The sequence below is a fragment of the Homo sapiens genome, chromosome 20 (genome assembly GCF_000001405.40).
Source record: "Homo sapiens chromosome 20, GRCh38.p14 Primary Assembly".
NCBI classification, from domain to species: domain Eukaryota; kingdom Metazoa; phylum Chordata; class Mammalia; order Primates; family Hominidae; genus Homo; species Homo sapiens.
In genome coordinates, this window is record NC_000020.11 from 53,237,275 (window position 1) to 53,256,636 (window position 19,362).

Genomic DNA, 19,362 nt, shown 5'->3' on the forward strand with positions numbered 1-19,362 from the left:
AATTGACTTAAACAGAACAGTTTTTTGTGTGTGTTTGGAGCCCAGCTTAGCTCTCTGAATCACACACAACTGAGTGATGGTAGAAACCTTCAAACCAAAGAAAGGAGAATATTATTCTCTGGTCTTTCACTCCCTACAATTGCACAACTGGTTCAAGCCCAGTTTATTTGTGCAAGATGATATTGACCATACATATATGCCCTGCTCTGTCTCTCTCTTTCTCTGTGTGAGTGTGTGTGTGTGTGTGTGTGTGCGCGTGCATCTGAATTTCTTTCTTCTACATACGAAAAATATAGACAAAAAAAGATAATGCTCCCATGACTGGAAAAAGATGAGATCATTTGTAAGTGGCTTGTTAAAGTGCACATCATTTTCCTGATCAGCGGTAGCGAGGCTGCATCTTTAGGAGCTGATGTGATTTATCATGTTATTATATATTTAGAGACATTTTGAAAATGCTGCTATTTACTCAACCGACTGTGTATATGGACGATTTAAAGCAGATTTTTGACCCAGTAGACTGTACCAGCTCTATCTATCGTCTCAATGAGCATGTGGGGACTCTTAAATATGCAGATTATTGACACAATAGACTACGAGCACTGCAACCGTACTCGAGACGGGTACAGTCAAGTCATTGGGGGATGATATGTTTCCAGAAAGCATTTTTAAGGCAAATCCACATATATAGACTTGCTCTATGAAAAAATATACATCTGGATAGAGGGGACTCTGGCTTTGGAAGGGAATATTTGCTATCTAGAAATAGGGTATTCTTACTAACATGCCTTTGTGTTCTGCCCTTTTGTCTATGAACATCTAAATAATAATACCTACCCTCTACTTAATCCCAAGCAATGTACCAATGGTTTGAGCTTAGTTTACTCAAACATGCCAAGAAACCATTCCGTTTGGGTTAGTATAAATGCATTCTTTGATTCAAAGTATGTATTGAGCACCATCTATCGAACAGTGGGGTCTTTGATTGCAAGCGATAAATATTATCTTTGGCAAACAAGTAAAAACAAGGAATTTGTTGGGAGGAACATAGTGTAGTTCACCAAAAGGGGAGGAACTAGTATGTCTGTGAGGACCAAGGGGGCAGAATCAAAAGACAATCTCTCTATCATAGAATTGTGAAATGGACCTACTCCAGCCCATTTCCACCTTTGAGTCATAGGTTCAGAATTCACATTCCATGGAGCAAGAGTTTGGTTGGCCAAGCTGGTGTTCTGTGCCATAGTAAAGCAAAAACAAAACAAAACACCAAAATGGGAAAGAAGAGAGAAAGTTGTCATATGTTCATTTCACCTCCCTGCTCCTTAAACAAATGATCAGATATTTAAACACACAGACATAAACACACACAATGCACACACAGGATGTCTATATTGTTTTTGCTGGAAAACAGTCCAGATGCACTGGGGTACCATGAAATTAAACTCCCAGAGGGCCAGAATCTCTGTTCTGTTGTCTCCTTTCCAATGTGTCTGTAAGGGAGCAGTTTTATACAGCCTGGACCTTATGATGCTATAAGTCAGTCCCAAGTCAATCTTATATCTAAAAAAAAAAAAAAAAAAAAAAAAAGAGCTACGCTACCTACTTTAACATCAAGGGGGAAGGGAGGGTGATGGGTGATTTCAATTGTTAATTCATCCAAACTGCAAAATTAGAAGTGCAGAGCACTCCCGCCAAGATGGCCAACAGTAGGAAATGGATGGTGGTTAGACGTAAACAGGAAAGAGTTCCCTCAAGACCTGGGCTTGCCACTAGGGATAAAGCAATGAACCAGACAGATAAGTCTCTGTATTTGTTGCATGAAACTGTCCTGTGCATTGTAGGATGTTTAGCAGCATCCTGGGTCTCTACCCACTAGATGCCAGTAGCACCTTGTCTCCCAGTTGTGACAATCAAATGTCTCCAGACATTAACGAATGTCCCCAGGAGCAAAATCACCCCAGATGAGTCATTAAGGGTGTGTTGGACATTACCAAGTGTGTCTCTAATTTAGTGTCCTCTCAGGAAGCTGGGACCCTCTGGGGGTAAACATCATCTCTGTTGTCCTATTTAAGTAGGATTCTGGAGTTCTGGCTATGTGCAAGATCTTATGTAGTCACAGGATACAAAGCAAGCAAGGAGAAAGAAGAACATTTATAGAGTCTTTACTGTATGCTCAAAAACTCCTGGTGCTGGGCATATAAAGATAAACACTCATAGCCCCCTTGTTCTTAAAGAGCTTACCACCTGGGAGGGGAGGTCAAGAATCACAGTTTGATTTGTCCAGCAGTAGAGAAGACCTTGGGGAGGAGATGCCATTTGAAGTGGCCTTGGAATTTGAAATCGCAATGGATAAATAACAATGGATTTGGTGCTTAACTGCGAGCAGCAATCCCAAATTTTACAGTATCAACCAGATCTTCATGAAAAATTAATGGACAGAATAGCAAAAAATTACCTCATATTTTATCAAACAAAAAATTATAATATTTTGCTATCATAATTGTTAGGGACTGAAGAATATATACACCAAGGAACGAAACAATGTGTAACATGAAAAATATCAGGGCACAGCAAGGCTAATTTGTACACATTTATAAAAATGTATCTAATTTGTAAAGTAACGGCTATACAAAACTATAAAATGTGCGCATACAAATTAGATATATTATGAAGCTCTCAGTTGCAAGGAACTATGTTAAGCAGTAAAGGGTATTATTTGTTCATGAAATTTCAAAGTACAAAGACAAAATCTTCAGGTAGAGTTTGATCAAGGTTGAAATTTTCTTGGCTCCGTGATGTCATATATGTTGGCTTGGTTCTCCAGCCACCATTCCTCATACTAGCAAAGCTCCTAAAAGTTTATGAGATTATATGTTCTTATATGAAAATAGGAAAAACAAATGGTAAAAACCCTTACTTTCTTAACCATCAAATCAAACTGAGAATGCCAATCACCAATTGGCTTAGATCCAGCCTGAATAACCTAAATAGGATGCTACGGCAAGGTGATTAGGTTTGATGATTCAGCGCCCACACATAGACCTGGGATGGGACCAACCTCAGCCACACTTATTGGGAAGCAACCATAGTGTCTCCTATGATGTACCCTAGAACACTAGTGATCTCTTCAGCATTGCTCAAGAATTAGCACATTTCATTTTTAAATGCTTATAAGTAACTACCAATGTCCTCTTTGAATCTCCATTTTTAGGTACAACTGCAAATTCCCTTTGTACCTCCTAAGGGTCACTCAAAGGTGTTAGAAGCTGCATATAAGGAGATGCTTTTCCAGGAACTCAGCCCATGCCTAATAATCCTCCTCCAGGTCAGAAAGAAAGATCTGGGTTTTGTTTTTGGTAATTTCTCCAAGAAAAGAAAAACTATCATTTACTCCCAGAAGCAAATAAAACAATAAACTCGACTGTGCATTAAAATAGATAGATAGATGATAGATAGATAGATAGATAGATAGATAGATAGATAGATAGATAGATAGATATGGTTTTTTAGGGGAGTTTGACTTCTATAAGTGTGGTCTGAGAACTGGCTGAAAACTAACATCAGAATAATTAAAAAGCAAGGGAAAATAACCCCCAAAAGGAGAATGAAACAGAGACAAAAAGCCAGAAAGAATATCAAGAACAAGACAATGGCTGTCTTAGGAACCATTTATTGGTGTTCACCACTGGAGAATATTAAATCACCAGATAGTGCTGTCTTCCCCAACTTTCCTGTCCTGGGACAACAGCCAATTTGGTACTATTAGGAGGATGCTGATAAAGTGACCTAAAGCCTCTTCCTATTTACCCATTTTCTCTATAGGTAGGGACAAAGAAAAGATGACAGCTCTTGGAAATATCATTCTTAAACTAGCCCTAACCTAAGTCGAAGGGTCAAAAAACCCTGGAGAGTTTTCCATTAGATTCTCCAAACTGTCCATTCAAAAATATCGAAGACCTATATATTGAAAACCTATGTATCTCCCAGAATTTTGGTCTTTTCCAAGTACTGCTTCATGTAACTATGTGTTGTGGGTTTGGCCCAGCTCAGACTCGCTGTTCCATATAATTTGGCTCATTTAAAAGCTAACCTAGTTAATTAAGAACTGAAATAGGTCAGGATTTATTTGGTGGAGTTACTGGAGTAGTTTAGAAATGCTAATCCCTTTTATCATTAACTTTTTTATTCGTTTGTTTCTTGTAATATAAAAATACTCAATCTGATAAGGGGATTTAAATGAATCCAGAATGAATTGATTGAGAATAATGTTAGGAGCCTGATGAACATTTTTTTCAGCCAAAACTTGAAAAAGTATATACAAAAAATCCTGAGAAATCCAGCTCCATAACATGATTCTTCATGACTAGGTTTTTGTTCTTGTGATGGTAATGAGAGGAGACATACTGAGTGCTGATTTTTACCAGGCATTCTGACTTCTTTCCAGTTATCTCACTTAATTTTCAAAATGATCTTTGAGGCAGGTACTATTATTATCTCCAATTGATAGATGGAGAGACCGAGCCCCACACAAGTTGTTAGTTTGCTCAAGATGATAATGCAGGACATGGCAGAGATGAGATTTGAACCCAGGTGGGCTTGCTGTAGACCTTGTTCTCTTCCATCCTGTAACACCTATGAGGGTGGTACACACACTTTCTCCTCTATTAGGCTGATGCAAAAGTAATTGCTGTTTTTGCCATTAAAAGTAATTACTTTTACTTTTGAACCACTCTCTTTTAATAATAGAGTGTTCTTCTCTGTGCAGACCCTTGCTTCATTGACAACTAGAAAGAGCATGAATGTCACACTTACTTGTCGTCAATTCCCAAAGCTTTAGCTGACTTTGACTTTGCAGCATTTCTAAGCTATTGACATATTGAGGCTGTATAATTCTTTGAGTAAGGACCGTCCTGTGCATTGTAGGATGTTTAGCTGCATCCCTGGCCTCTACCTGCCAGATACCAGCAACACCGCTTCTCTAGGTATAGCAACCAAAAATGTCCTCAAACGTTGTCCCATGTCCCCTGGGGAACAAAAACCACCCCCAGAACTACTAAGAGTATTATGGTGACCCAGCTGACTCCTGGAGTCCCATTTTCTTCTCTAGAAGAAACCAGCTGCCAAAAATAATGATCTAATTAACTCATTCACCCTGAAGTGCAAAGGTGAGATAAGAGATTAGGTTTTTATATTTTTATAGGGGATGAGTTCTTGGTCCACCTCATGTCAGATGAACATAAGCCAAGTTGTAGGGTTTAAGGCAAGAAGAAGCAGAGAGTAAGAGGTGTCACAATTGCGGGCTCCTGAGTTCACATCACACTTGTACCTGATTCATCTACTTCCCATAGGGAGTAACCCACCCTGTGAGTTTAAACCCATGTGCACACTTCAACCATCCAAAGCAATATTCTGTTTAAAAGATACCTTGTTGTTGTTCTCTATGGCTTGAAAGCAAATTGGGACCAGTGAGTAAAATCTAAGTTTTGAACAGAATCTAAGTGTTGGATAGAAAAGCATACTTCACTGATGCAATCATTCATTCACTTATGGGTCCAATCATTCATTTATTTATTCATATATCCAACAAACACTTGAACAAGGTGGGCTGGGTATAGCAATGGGATACAGTGGTAAACAAGATAGATTTGACCTGCCCTCTGGGAGCTTACAGTCTTATCTAGAGGACAATCAAGTACATAGTAAGTACAATTGCAAACTGAAATAAGGTATACAAAAGAAAAATGGGGGACTGAGATAGAAAATAACTTTGGTTGTTGGTAATTTCGGAGGAGTAAGTGGGGGAGGGTACAGTGATCAGAGATGACCCATCCGACGAAAGGCATTGGAGCTGAAACTAAAAGAATTAGACTAAAAGGAAAGACTTAGATATAGGGAAAGGGGGAATCTTTTATACATAGGGAATGGAATTTCAAGGGCCTTAAAGAAGGAAAGAATTTGATGAATTTAGGGAACAAGGAGAAGAATTTTCGCTTTCAAGTCCTAAACAAAATGAACAGTGATAGGGTAGTTCTGAGATGGAAACTGGGCAGGTCATTGCACTCTATGAGTCATCACTGCATGCATGTTCAAGTATATGCTGAGCAGTACCTGACAGAAGTGTTGATGAAGAGATGAAAGCATATCATAAAAGCTTAAACTGAAAGTTCTCCCCAATCCTTTGATTCGATCAAATTGTACCATGATGGAAACACGGCTCAACTCCTAAGTGTGAGGAATGGAAATGGTTCCCATTCAGTGTGGTCCTCATAGCAGGCTAGTAACAATGACTGTGCTGGTGGAGAGTCCAACATGAAGAAGAGGGTTGGAAAGTCAAGCATCTGAGCCATTTAAGGATACCAAGGCCAGGAAGCCCTTTCCTGAATGAGAAATTGGCCCAATGACATGAAAATTCTTTCCACTTCGGGCTTCTGTGATTCTTCTAGAGACAGCAAAGACTTTTCACCAGAAAACTAAAGTCCAGCCTGCTTTCTGATAGTGCCAATGTAGCTTTTCTGAGAGAACAGTGGGTTTCTTGCTTGCTTGCTTGCTTTTTTTTTTTTTCTTTCTTTCTTTCTTCTTAATGGGTAGTGGTCACAGCCATGAACTTAGCAAAAGAAGCAAGTTAAAATTTGTCCATTCTTGGCTAATGCAGTTAGACATTTTTGAGAAAAGGCAATGAGAAGTGGTCATTATCCATTATCTGCATGAAATATTTCAGAGAAAGAAGCAGCATTTGCCAAAAAAAGGAAAAGATGTTTGACTTCAAGCCAGGCAAAAAGGAAACAAGATCACCTTCTAGCTCTGTGGGATGGCTGTGCTAATGATGTTATTTCAAGTAAAATTGGAATATATATCTGAAAAAATACAGATGGTGCAGCAGCTTCATATACTTTCTGAAGGTCATTTTGGACAATGATTCACTGTCCCTTTACTTGGGAAAAAAAAAACCTCTCCAGTCTTGGAAGGAACTATATGTGTGTGAGTGTGTTTATATATCCTTATGCGGAATAAACGTATAGAAAATAAGCATGCATGACTTGCTGAAAATATTTGTTACCACTTGAAAAGTCAACACCTAAAAATCTTAATTTGATAGGAGAGTCTCAGTTCTATTGTGTAGTTTCTTTGTTCCTGTTTCGTTTCACTTTGTTTTCTCCTCTGTTCCTGATTTGTGACTCTCTGGGTGTAAGGATAATGTAAGGATAATGATTTCTAAACTGGAGCTACCAAAAAGCTTATAAAGTGGTCCCCTTCTCACCCTTCTCCATGAATATTTTCTCACTCTGCTTTTTTAAATTGTCACCAAGACACGTCGCAATAATAATATACGCTGGACTGAAATTCCAGGTAGCTGAATATAAAGCATTTTTCTTGGAGACCTTCTGCTTTAAACATTTGTCACCTCTCTCAGTGCAAAGCCCGAGGCCTCTAACAAAGACCTTTTTTCTCAGATGGTGGGTTGCTTTATTTCTTGAGGATTGCAGACATTACCATTATGGCTAATGACCTAATAACTTGCTATTTGATGTTTGTACATCACTTTCTACGGAAGTTCCCGGCACACATACCACTGGCTCCTTGTACAAGTGATTTAATATTAAATAACAAACCCCAAACTGGAGGAAGCTCTTTTCTTATGCATTCTTATGGATGACACATAAACAAAGCTGGTTCTTATCTATTGTGAATACCATCTAAAAGCTGTTGGCTTGGAATAAGATTTAGGGATAACACAGAATGCCAGACTCAACTGATTTCAGCCATCTGTGGGTTCAGGTTGAAGATCAGATGTACAGTGGTTGGAAAGTGCCTAGAACCAGCACTGAGAAGTTGGGAGGTAACCCTGCATTCTTGGTGTTTCACATACTTTATCACATGCTATACTCTAAAGCATCTTAAGAAGCAGATACTATTATTATTCCTATTTTATAGATGAGGAAGCTGTGCCTTTGAAAGTTTTCAGTAATTTTCCCAAGATTGTCTTGTCCTTCCCAAGACATTACACAGTACACCAAGGTCTGCCTGATCCTAAGGCTGAGGGGCCATCTTATCTACCCTGTTAACTGATCAGTTCTTGAATCAGCAATTTATTTCTCTCTTGGTTGGTGTTTTCCAGTATAAACTGGGAGCAACCATCTAAGCCATAGGCATTTAGTCTCTTGGTCTCTGGAGAGGACAGGGGCTGAAAGTCCTCAAAGTTGTATGATCTTTTCACAAAGCTGGTTCCCACATACACTGGTGAACATAGGCATAGAGAAGTAGATTGCTAAATATCTCTCTACTAATTAACTGTTTTGCAATTTACATCCAAACTTCTCAAACTTCCTGGCACATAGGAATCCTCTAGAGACCTTGTTAAATGATTTCTATTCTGTAGGCTTGGGGTGGGGCTGAGAGCCTGCATTTCTAACAAGCTCCCAGGTGATGCCAACACCATTCATCAACCCTACTTGAATAGTATGGGTTTACAATACACTTCCTCTTTTGTCCTGATAGGACCCTTTCAGTCAGTCAGGCTTGGGATAGTCACTCCTATTTGAGGTTGACAGATGAAGAAATAGGTCAAAGAGCTGATAGGAGAGAGAACCAGAAAAGCACACCAGATTCTCTAACCCCTGGTTCCTGCGGTTCAGAGGTTGCAAATGGTTGGGTCTCAGATGTATTTAGTTTTGTCCACACAGTTGGGCCCAAACAAAATACCTGGCAATCCCAAACTCCATGAAAGTCCTTCAGTAGCAGCTGTGCTTTTCTTTCTTTCTTTCTTTCTTTTTTTTTTTTTGTTTGAGACAGAGTCTTGCTATCTTGGACAGGCTGGAATGCAGTGGCGTGATCTCAGCTCTCTGCAACCTCCGCCTCCCATGTTCAAGTGATTCTCCTGCCTCTCAGCCTCCCAAGTAGCTGAGATTACAGGCATGCACCACCACACCCAGCTAATTTTTTGTATTTTTAGTAGAGATGGGTTTTCACCATGTTGGCCAGGCTGGTCTCAAACTCCTGACCTCATGTGATCTGCCCACTTCTGCCTCCCAAAGTGCTGGGATTACAGGCGTGAGCCACTGCACCTGGTGCACTGTGCTTTTGATGTGCCATAAACTTTCCTCTTACTCACAGCCCTCGGTGTCCTCCAGACAAGTGTCCAGTCTAGCTGAGTATACATGATTACTTACCTTCACAACTGAGAACGGATTTTCCTCCACCTGGCCCGCTTCGCCCATTTTCATTACCTGCCTTCCATCAGTAATGTGTGACCTTTTCATGACCTCTCTCTCCAAAACCTCAGCATCCAACTTCTCTCCATAACTCACCTCTCTACTTGCCTTGGCCTTGGAAGACCCACTGTGACGAAAGTCCTAGTGAAACTCCACTAAAGTGTCTTGCATGTGGTAACTGCAGAATAAATATTTCTTGATTAAATGAATAAACAGATGAACCACAAAGGGATGACAGAATATCCACTTCTCCTGACTTAAACTAGCTTAGCCGTTTTTTTGCTGATGACCAAGATGTGGAGAAATTCACAAAATGTGATTAGAAAACGTTTTACAGTCCAAAGAGCTGTAACGATGGCCCAGGAAAGAAGCAACAAGCGTACATTAAGTGTTTAGACGGACCCCACCTGGTATGCAAGCGCGGTACATGTAAAGCATTCCAATTACCCGAACCATCTTCAGGAAATTGAAAAAAATAGAGAGAGATTGTTGTTTTGATGACCACCAGAAACCTCCCCATTTATCTCCGCAGAGTACTCATGGGCTCAGGATGGCCCCCCATCACTGTACCCACGCCATCTCCAGCAGTGCTTTAAACAAAGAATTCTATTTGTTTGGTTCTGACTTTCAGACAGAGGAGGGAGCAAACTCTTCTCTCTCGATCCGTATATATCAGTAACACTTATGTTATATGTGGCATGACAGGGATAAAAATCCACGCACCATAAATGTCACATTTCTTTTTGAACATTTTTCTGTTTAAAAATGTGCATGAACGTAGATCACTTCTCCAGCCAGCAAACACACTGGGCCCTGGCCTGTGGTACCTGGATTCTCTGTAAATGAAGTCTGTGCTCAGGAATGGTGCAAGGATCCCACAGCTCTCTAGACTTCCTCTCTCCTGAAACAAAAAGCAGAGGGATCCCTCCACATGGCCCTCCAAGAGGCCCTCACTCCAGGCCTGGCTACCCTTGAGAATAGCTCAGCTTCCTTGAACACTGAATCCTATATCTCTTTACTCAGCCTGCCAACATGCATGCCAATTAGTGCCAATAATAACATACATACTAACAGACTTTTAGACCACAGTCACCCAAACACTAGAGACTCATGACAGGGAGCTCTCATTCCGAGTCATCATTTTTTGTACCTACTGGGTACACGCTGAGAAATTCTCACGATCTCCTCATTTACGTCTGCCTTGAACCCTGTGGCATCTTCCTGTGACTTTAAACAGTCATTTAGTGCGGTAGATTGGCGAAAACGATCCTGTCACCATCGGATATGTTTTTAAATGAGGTCTTGGTTGAATTCTGGTTTAGTTTTTAAAAATCAGCCTTCTTGAGTTTTAAATTGTTCTTATGTTATGATTCCACTTCTGCTGCCATTTTTAAAACTGTCAGTGTTTTTACTGTAAACACTATTGTGGACTTTCAAGGTGACTACAGAAACGTATACCTAGCAAAAGTCTGATATGTAACTCCATACCACCCATGAATTATTTTGCACAATTTCATTTAAATCATTCTGACTAGAGGTTTGGAAAAAATTGAGGTGGTATAGTTTTAAAAATAATTGTTTTCCTCCTTCTGTTGTTGTTTTTTTGGGACAGGGTCTTGCTGTGTCACCCAGACTGCAGGGCAGTGGCGTGATCACAGCTCACTGCAGCCTCAACCTTCTGGGCTCAAGTGATCCTCCCACCACAGCCACCCAAGTAGCTGGGACCATAGGCATGCACCATTATGCCTGGCTATTTTTTTTTTATTTTTTTTGTAGAAACGGTCTAGCTATGTGGCACAGGCTGGTCTCCAACTCCTGGGCTCAAGTAATCCTCATGCCTCAGTTTCCCACAAGTACTGAGATTACAGGTGTGAGCCACCATGCCCAGCCATTAACTTTTCATATGAAAGAAAATTTCTCTAAGAAGAAAATAAAATATAAGGGTTTATTTCTAATTTTTACCCACATACTATTAGGGTAAAACAAATGCAGCATATAAAATATTCTTCTCCAATAATATTTCTCCTTTTTTAAATGAAGAATTCAGGGGAAGGCTACTCTAATATGTATGTCTGCTAATACATATGTAATGTTGTTTATAGTAGACCAGCTAATGGACTTTATCCATGATAAAATTAGTCCATACTTTCAAAGTTCCCATGTGTGAATCTTTGTTGAATCAAAGTCTGTTCACATTAAGAGCATAGATTCTGATGCTTTGAGGTCTTGTTGCTTATTTGCAGCCTTTATACTTAGGAGTGTAAATCCACAGCTCAAAGAAGTTGGGCAGCAAGGAAGTTGGTAGCTGGGTTGTTCTGAAAAGATGATTTATGGGGATGCTCTGGTATTATTTCATTTCATTTCATTTCATTTTAGACAGAGTTGCACTCTGTCGCCCAGGCTGGAGTGCAGTGGCAGAATCTCAGCTCATTACAACCTCCATCTCCCACTTCAAGTGGTTCTCCTGCCTCAGCCTCCCGAGTAGCTGGGATTACAAGCGTGTGCCACCACACCTGGCTGATTTTCTTTTTTTTTTTAGTCGAAACTGGGTTTCACCATGTTGGCCAGGCTGGTCTTGAACTCCTGACCTCGGGTGATCTGCCTGCCTCAGCCTCCCAAAATGCTGGAATTACAAGTGTGAGCCTCGGCACACAGCCGATACTCTGGTTTTATCATTGAGTGAAGTTGATTAGCATGATTGTAATTCACATCTATCTACATGGGCTGAGGGTGGGCAGATCTTTACCCACCAGAAGTACCAATTTCACTGCTGAGGAATGGAGCCAAAGTTTGCAGCTGGAATAATCCTTTTTACTGTGTAATCTATTCATTCATTAACTCAAATAGTTTGTGGACATCACTCTGTGCCAGGATGTGAACTGAGCACTGGGGAGGAGCATTCTGACTGCATGGGGATAGATATTCTAACCTTACATCCAGTAGAAGAAGACATCAATCAATAAACAAATGGGTTTATTTCAGAGTCTGGTAAGTGCTCCAGGGATTTCAGGCAGTAGGGTGATGTGATGGATAGTTACACAGAGCAGGGGAGACATCAGCAAAGGCCTCACTGAGAAGGGCCCATTGGAGCTGAGACTTGATGGAACCTGCTATGTGATGGTGCAGACAAAGAACTTTTCGGTCAGAAAAATCTGCAAAGGCAGAAAGCCTCAGTCAGGAGAAGGATTGGCGGGGTCAAGGAGGGGCAAGTAGATTATTGTTTCCTAGGCATGAAGAGAAGGCCGTGGGTGATGAGAGAGGGGCAGGGAGGTTGGCCTAGGGCACATCCTGCAGGCTCTTGTAGACCATGCTAAGGGTTGAGATTTTATTGCAAGTGCAACAGAAAGACACTGCAGGAGTTAAAAGAGAGGGCTGTCATGACCTAATCCCTTTTACAAAGAATCTTCTAGCAGTTCACTGAAGAGCAGACTGTGGGAAGTAGAAGCAGGAAGCTCATTGTCCAACCTAGGGGACAAAACGGTGGCCCAGGCTAGAGCAGTGGCCATGGAGTGGGAGAAAAATGGTCTCTTGAGTCAGTAGTTCAGTCAAAGAATGGACCGGATTTGCTCGTGAATCAGCTGTTCCAGGAATGGGGACATCTCATGTGGCCAGAGTCAAGCTGGGGAAATGGATGAAACTGGAAATTGAGGTTGGAAAAGGAAATTTTTGCCACTATGAAGTTTGATCTTCGACCCCCAATCAACAAGGAAGTTCTATAGAGAACAGTTCTTTTGTCCTGTGCTTTGGCATAACTGTGATAGTTTTCTTTCATTAAATAAGTATTCATAAGAGTAAACTTGCCACTCATCCACTTATCCTAAGACTTACACAAGATGCAATCTTATTAAACAAGTCATCAATACAGAGAGAGACACTGATACTCATTATTCACTCAGATCACCCCTGTTCTGGCTGCCTTTCCTCTCTTGCCCCAACTGCTGGTGGCAAACAAAATCACTTAAGTCAAGTGAACAGTTTTAGATGTATAATATTGAAAGGTGTTTTTTTAAAAAAAACTCCTTGGAACCCTCAGCCATTGTTAAAATACACTCACTTTGACAGATGTTTGGCACTTTTTGTATGAGGCTTTTCAATGCCTTACCTTATCCAGTGCATGAGATTTAGTCGGCTCTGCAGAGGAAAACAGACAAAAAGGGTCTCTCAGCACGAGTTACTCTTCTGTAAAGGTTATAGTAAACATGTCAATGCCTAATTAAGCAGAAAATTTTATCTGTATTGTGGGGGAGGCGTTTGCTGTCTCTGACTTTTCTTCTGGGGAATCCATTTAGAAGGACAAAGTAGATTGTGAGGTTGAGCTGGTCCGGAAAGCTCTGCTTCCAAATGTCAGTGGGAAAAAAAAAAAAAAAAGAACACTTCTTTTCTCCTAGTTTGAAAATGACTATACTGGGTGGGCAGATTGTGTGTGTGTGTGTGTGTGTGTGTGTGTATGCACAGGTGCACGCATTAGAGTGCATGTATGTATATTTCATCAATGTACACACAAAATAACATGAATTACTTCCCAACTTCTTGCTAGATGTCAGGCACGGTGCTAGGCACTGAAAATACTGAGATGAATGAAACCCAGAAATGCCCTTAGCCAATTGTGATGACAGAAAGTCCTCATGGCCACCAAATCCCCAGATTTCTTTACTTGCTTCTTTGTTGCTGTGATTACGTTACCCACAGGTGTTGTCACATGTCTTAGTTGGCCTGGAACATCCTGCTGACTACCTGTTGACCCAGCGTATGTTCCAGAGTAATAGCACCCCTTCATTCTCCAAGTGACCCTATTTGATTGATGAAATTTGTCTGATTCTCTGATGTATGTTACTTGGCTCAGTAACAACTTATTTTATCATTTGTTATTTAGTTTATTAATTTTATAACAGAGACTTTCTCTTTGAATGGTATATCTATTTTTTGCAAACATACAAGTTAATCCAGGAAAAAGGAAATGGGATGATACCGACAGGAATAATCTAATTCGGCCATATGGTCATTTTAAACTACAGTTTTCCTGCAAGTTGTGACCGCTTATTAATGGTTTTTTGACTAGATTGAGTAGTTGTTGTTTTTTTCAAACCAATCTTTGAAGCTAGAGACCAGTAACGCCAATTTAATAAAAAATCCACCTGTCAATTTGCTAGGAAGGTAAAACACACCACACCAATAGCAGTAAAATAACTAACACAACCATAAAACTCATGGCTAGACTGAATTTATACATTTCATCTTGTTTTACGGTATTCTGTCACTAAAATCATGGGCTCTTGTCTCCAGTTTTCCCACAGTTTTCCCCTGTGATGTGGTTATCTATTTAGTGACATTTCAATGAAATTCCACTGCTTAACCTTTAGCCTTTGGGTCTCATCAAAGGGTTCTTCTTCATTAGGTTGGCAATACAAAGATAGCAGCATCTCCTGTATTCGGGCATTCTCCCATCAGGCAGACTTGGGTGTCTGTCCTCACTCTGCAACGCTAGCTGTGTGGCCTTGGGTGAATTTCCTTACCTTAAAGCCTCAGTTTCCCCCTCTGTGAAATGAAAGTAATAGTGGCTACTTCATGCAGATATTAGACAAAATGAAAGAATGCATTTGCAGTGTTTAGCTTACTTCCTAGGAGACAGCAATTGCTCAATAAATATTCTTTATCTTCAGCAGCAGCAGCAGCGGCAGCCTTTGGAGTTGCTGATTGTAGCTGCTTTATCCTAGCAAATCCCCTTCTCTTCTAATTCTCCGTGCCTGCCTCACAGGATGGACCTCCAGCGCATGACCACTCCTTTTCCAAGCTTTGTCCTTAGTGACTGGAAATAACAGAGCCTGCTCTAAGGTTTTCCCCACGTCGCTACCTGCCACAGAGAGAGGAGACAGAAGTTCATAAAGAAAATATTGCATTAAGATTGTGCAGGCCTTGCAAACCTAAAACTGGATCTCCTTTTCTTTGGGACTTCTTTGGTTGCATGTTATCTGCATGGTTCTGAAAAGGCCAGGTGAAGAAAATGAGCCCATAGGCATAATGTCACATTCCCCATCTCCATTGATGGATATTTGCCCATTAATTCCCTTTGCACTGGCTCACTCATGTCTTCATTTTCCCTATGTAATTACTGGTCCTAAATCCTTTCAGAGAAGGGAAAGCATGCATCCCCAATAGCATTTTGCATCTACAAATCAAATATATAATTGGCATCTCATGACGGGTACCCACAAATCACAGTGCATTTGAAATTACAGGCACAAGATCGAGAGGGCATTTTCAACCTTGTCTGGAAAGGTCTTCACAAACCTGTTTTAGAATAATAAGATAGTCGCCAAATCTCCCATTCTAGCACCATTTGCGATTATTTTCAAGTCATTATATTTGCTGAGCTTATATAATTTTTCAACTATCAACAGAAGATTTTATTTGCATACCCCATCATCTCTCTTCCTGCTGTGTGATTCCCTACAAATAAAAATGTTATAGCAAAAAGACAGGGGCTATCAAAAAATATAATGGCTGTGTATCCAAATTACTTCTGAGCACTCAAAAATGATTTATTTATATGGTTATATGCCAATATATCCAAGTGTCTTGGTAAACTTTACCATCTAGATGCCAAGAGTCAAGTCTTAGTCTCCCTATGAGCCAACATTCTTCCCTGTAGACACGTGACTTTAATGGGATATGAATTTCAATCCAGATTTCCTAAAAGTCATACACATGAATTTAGCAACTATCCCATCACAGGAATATTAGAAAGATATTCCTTAAACCTGAAAATTATTAACTTGGGATCCTAGGCATTTATAAAGAATTATGACTCCTGCCAATTGAAAAAAAAAAAAAAAAAAACACTAGATGGCACGAAAGACACCATTTGGCTTTTCCTGTGTCCACTGCTCACAGTGCATAAAAATGTAGATTAAATCACCGTTCAGTTCGGCATGGGAAGCACTTAGTCTATGTGAGGAAATTGGAATGGAATATGGAGCCTGTTACTGTCGTTTCATCTCTTCTTCTTCTCTTGCAGGCTACGCCCAGGAGGAACAGCTGAAAGAAGAGGAGGAAATAAAAGAAGAGGAGGAGGAGGAGGACAGCGGTTCAGTAGCTCAACTGCAGGGTGGCAATGACACAGGGACGGACGAGGAGCTAGAAACGGGCCCAGAGCAAAAAGGCTGCTTCAGCTACCAGAACTCTCCAGGAAGTCATTTGTCCAATCAGGATGCCGAGAACGAGTCTCTGCTGAGTGACGCCAGTGATCAGGTGTCGGACATCAAGAGTGTCTGCGGCAGAGATGCCTCAGACAAGAAAGCACACACTCACGTCAGGCTTCCAAACGAAGCACACAATTGCATGGATAAAATGACCGCTGTCTACGCCAACATCCTGTCGGATTCCTACTGGTCAGGCCTGGGCCTTGGCTTCAAGCTGTCCAATAGTGAGAGGAGGAACTGTGACACCCGAAACGGCAGCAACAAGAGTGATTTTGATTGGCACCAAGACGCTCTGTCCAAAAGCCTGCAGCAGAACTTGCCTTCTCGGTCCGTCTCGAAACCCAGCCTGTTCAGCTCGGTGCAGTTGTACCGACAGAGCAGCAAGATGTGCGGGACTGTGTTCACAGGGGCCAGCAGATTCCGATGCCGACAGTGCAGCGCGGCCTATGACACCCTAGTCGAGCTGACTGTGCACATGAATGAAACGGGCCACTATCAAGATGACAACCGCAAAAAGGACAAGCTCAGACCCACGAGCTATTCAAAGCCCAGGAAAAGGGCTTTCCAGGATATGGACAAAGAGGATGCTCAAAAGGTTCTGAAATGTATGTTTTGTGGCGACTCCTTTGATTCCCTCCAAGATTTGAGCGTCCACATGATTAAAACAAAACATTACCAAAAAGTGCCTTTGAAGGAGCCAGTCCCAACCATTTCCTCGAAAATGGTCACCCCGGCTAAGAAACGCGTTTTTGATGTCAATCGGCCGTGTTCCCCCGATTCAACCACAGGATCTTTTGCAGATTCTTTTTCTTCTCAGAAGAACGCCAACTTGCAGTTGTCCTCCAACAACCGCTATGGCTACCAAAATGGAGCCAGCTACACCTGGCAGTTTGAGGCCTGCAAGTCCCAGATCTTAAAGTGCATGGAGTGTGGGAGCTCCCATGACACCTTGCAGCAGCTCACCACCCACATGATGGTCACAGGTCACTTTCTCAAGGTCACCAGCTCTGCCTCCAAGAAAGGGAAGCAGCTGGTATTAGACCCGTTAGCAGTGGAGAAAATGCAGTCGTTGTCTGAGGCCCCAAACAGTGATTCTCTGGCTCCCAAGCCATCCAGTAACTCAGCATCAGATTGTACAGCCTCTACAACTGAGTTAAAGAAAGAGAGTAAAAAAGAAAGGCCAGAGGAAACCAGCAAGGATGAGAAAGTCGTGAAAAGCGAGGACTATGAAGATCCTCTACAAAAACCTTTAGACCCTACAATCAAATATCAATACCTAAGGGAGGAAGACTTGGAAGATGGCTCAAAGGGTGGAGGGGACATTTTGAAATCTTTGGAAAATACTGTCACCACAGCCATCAACAAAGCCCAAAACGGGGCCCCCAGCTGGAGTGCCTACCCCAGCATCCACGCAGCCTACCAGCTGTCTGAGGGCACCAAGCCGCCTTTGCCTATGGGATCCCAGGTACTGCAGATCCGGCCTAATCTCACCAACAAGCTGAGGCCCATTGCACCAAAGTGGAAAGTGATGCCACTGGTTTCTATGCCCACACACCTGGCCCCTTACACTCAAGTCAAGAAAGAGTCAGAAGACAAAGATGAAGCGGTGAAGGAGTGTGGGAAAGAAAGTCCCCACGAAGAGGCCTCATCTTTCAGCCACAGTGAGGGCGATTCTTTCCGCAAAAGTGAAACACCTCCAGAAGCCAAAAAGACCGAGCTGGGTCCCCTGAAGGAGGAGGAGAAGCTGATGAAAGAGGGCAGCGAGAAGGAGAAACCCCAGCCCCTGGAGCCCACATCTGCTCTGAGCAATGGGTGCGCCCTCGCCAACCACGCCCCGGCCCTGCCATGCATCAACCCACTCAGCGCCCTGCAGTCCGTCCTGAACAATCACTTGGGCAAAGCCACGGAGCCCTTGCGCTCACCTTCCTGCTCCAGCCCAAGTTCAAGCACAATTTCCATGTTCCACAAGTCGAATCTCAATGTCATGGACAAGCCGGTCTTGAGTCCTGCCTCCACAAGGTCAGCCAGCGTGTCCAGGCGCTACCTGTTTGAGAACAGCGATCAGCCCATTGACCTGACCAAGTCCAAAAGCAAGAAAGCCGAGTCCTCGCAAGCACAATCTTGTATGTCCCCACCTCAGAAGCACGCTCTGTCTGACATCGCCGACATGGTCAAAGTCCTCCCCAAAGCCACCACCCCAAAGCCAGCCTCCTCCTCCAGGGTCCCCCCCATGAAGCTGGAAATGGATGTCAGGCGCTTTGAGGATGTCTCCAGTGAAGTCTCAACTTTGCATAAAAGAAAAGGCCGGCAGTCCAACTGGAATCCTCAGCATCTTCTGATTCTACAAGCCCAGTTTGCCTCGAGCCTCTTCCAGACATCAGAGGGCAAATACCTGCTGTCTGATCTGGGCCCACAAGAGCGTATGCAAATCTCTAAGTTTACGGGACTCTCAATGACCACTATCAGTCACTGGCTGGCCAACGTCAAGTACCAGCTTAGGAAAACGGGCGGGACAAAATTTCTGAAAAACATGGACAAAGGCCACCCCATCTTTTATTGCAGTGACTGTGCCTCCCAGTTCAGAACCCCTTCTACCTACATCAGTCACTTAGAATCTCACCTGGGTTTCCAAATGAAGGACATGACCCGCTTGTCAGTGGACCAGCAAAGCAAGGTGGAGCAAGAGATCTCCCGGGTATCGTCGGCTCAGAGGTCTCCAGAAACAATAGCTGCCGAAGAGGACACAGACTCTAAATTCAAGTGTAAGTTGTGCTGTCGGACATTTGTGAGCAAACATGCGGTAAAACTCCACCTAAGCAAAACGCACAGCAAGTCACCCGAACACCATTCACAGTTTGTAACAGACGTGGATGAAGAATAGCTCTGCAGGTATGGGTTTGCTCTGAGGCATTGCGATTAGCCTGGTGAGGAGCTTTCTTACAGGGAGATGGGTC

General features: G+C 42.1%; 1 protein-coding gene across 10 annotated transcripts in view; it reads left to right on the forward strand.

Annotated features, from left to right (window-relative positions):
- The window catches only part of TSHZ2 (teashirt zinc finger homeobox 2), a 522,973-nt gene that overhangs the window by 264,917 nt on the left and 238,694 nt on the right, over window positions 1-19,362 (forward strand). For 7 of the 10 annotated variants that reach the window (XM_047439875.1, XM_047439874.1, XM_047439873.1 and 4 more), the window contains exon 2: window positions 16,225-19,297. In XM_047439875.1, coding sequence (XP_047295831.1) covers window positions 16,225-19,289 — 3,065 coding nt within the window. In that variant the 3' untranslated portion in view covers window positions 19,290-19,297. The remainder of the gene's footprint in view (window positions 1-16,224; window positions 19,298-19,362) is intronic. The other 3 variants (XM_017027641.2, XM_047439878.1, XM_047439879.1) reach the window with 1 other exon arrangement.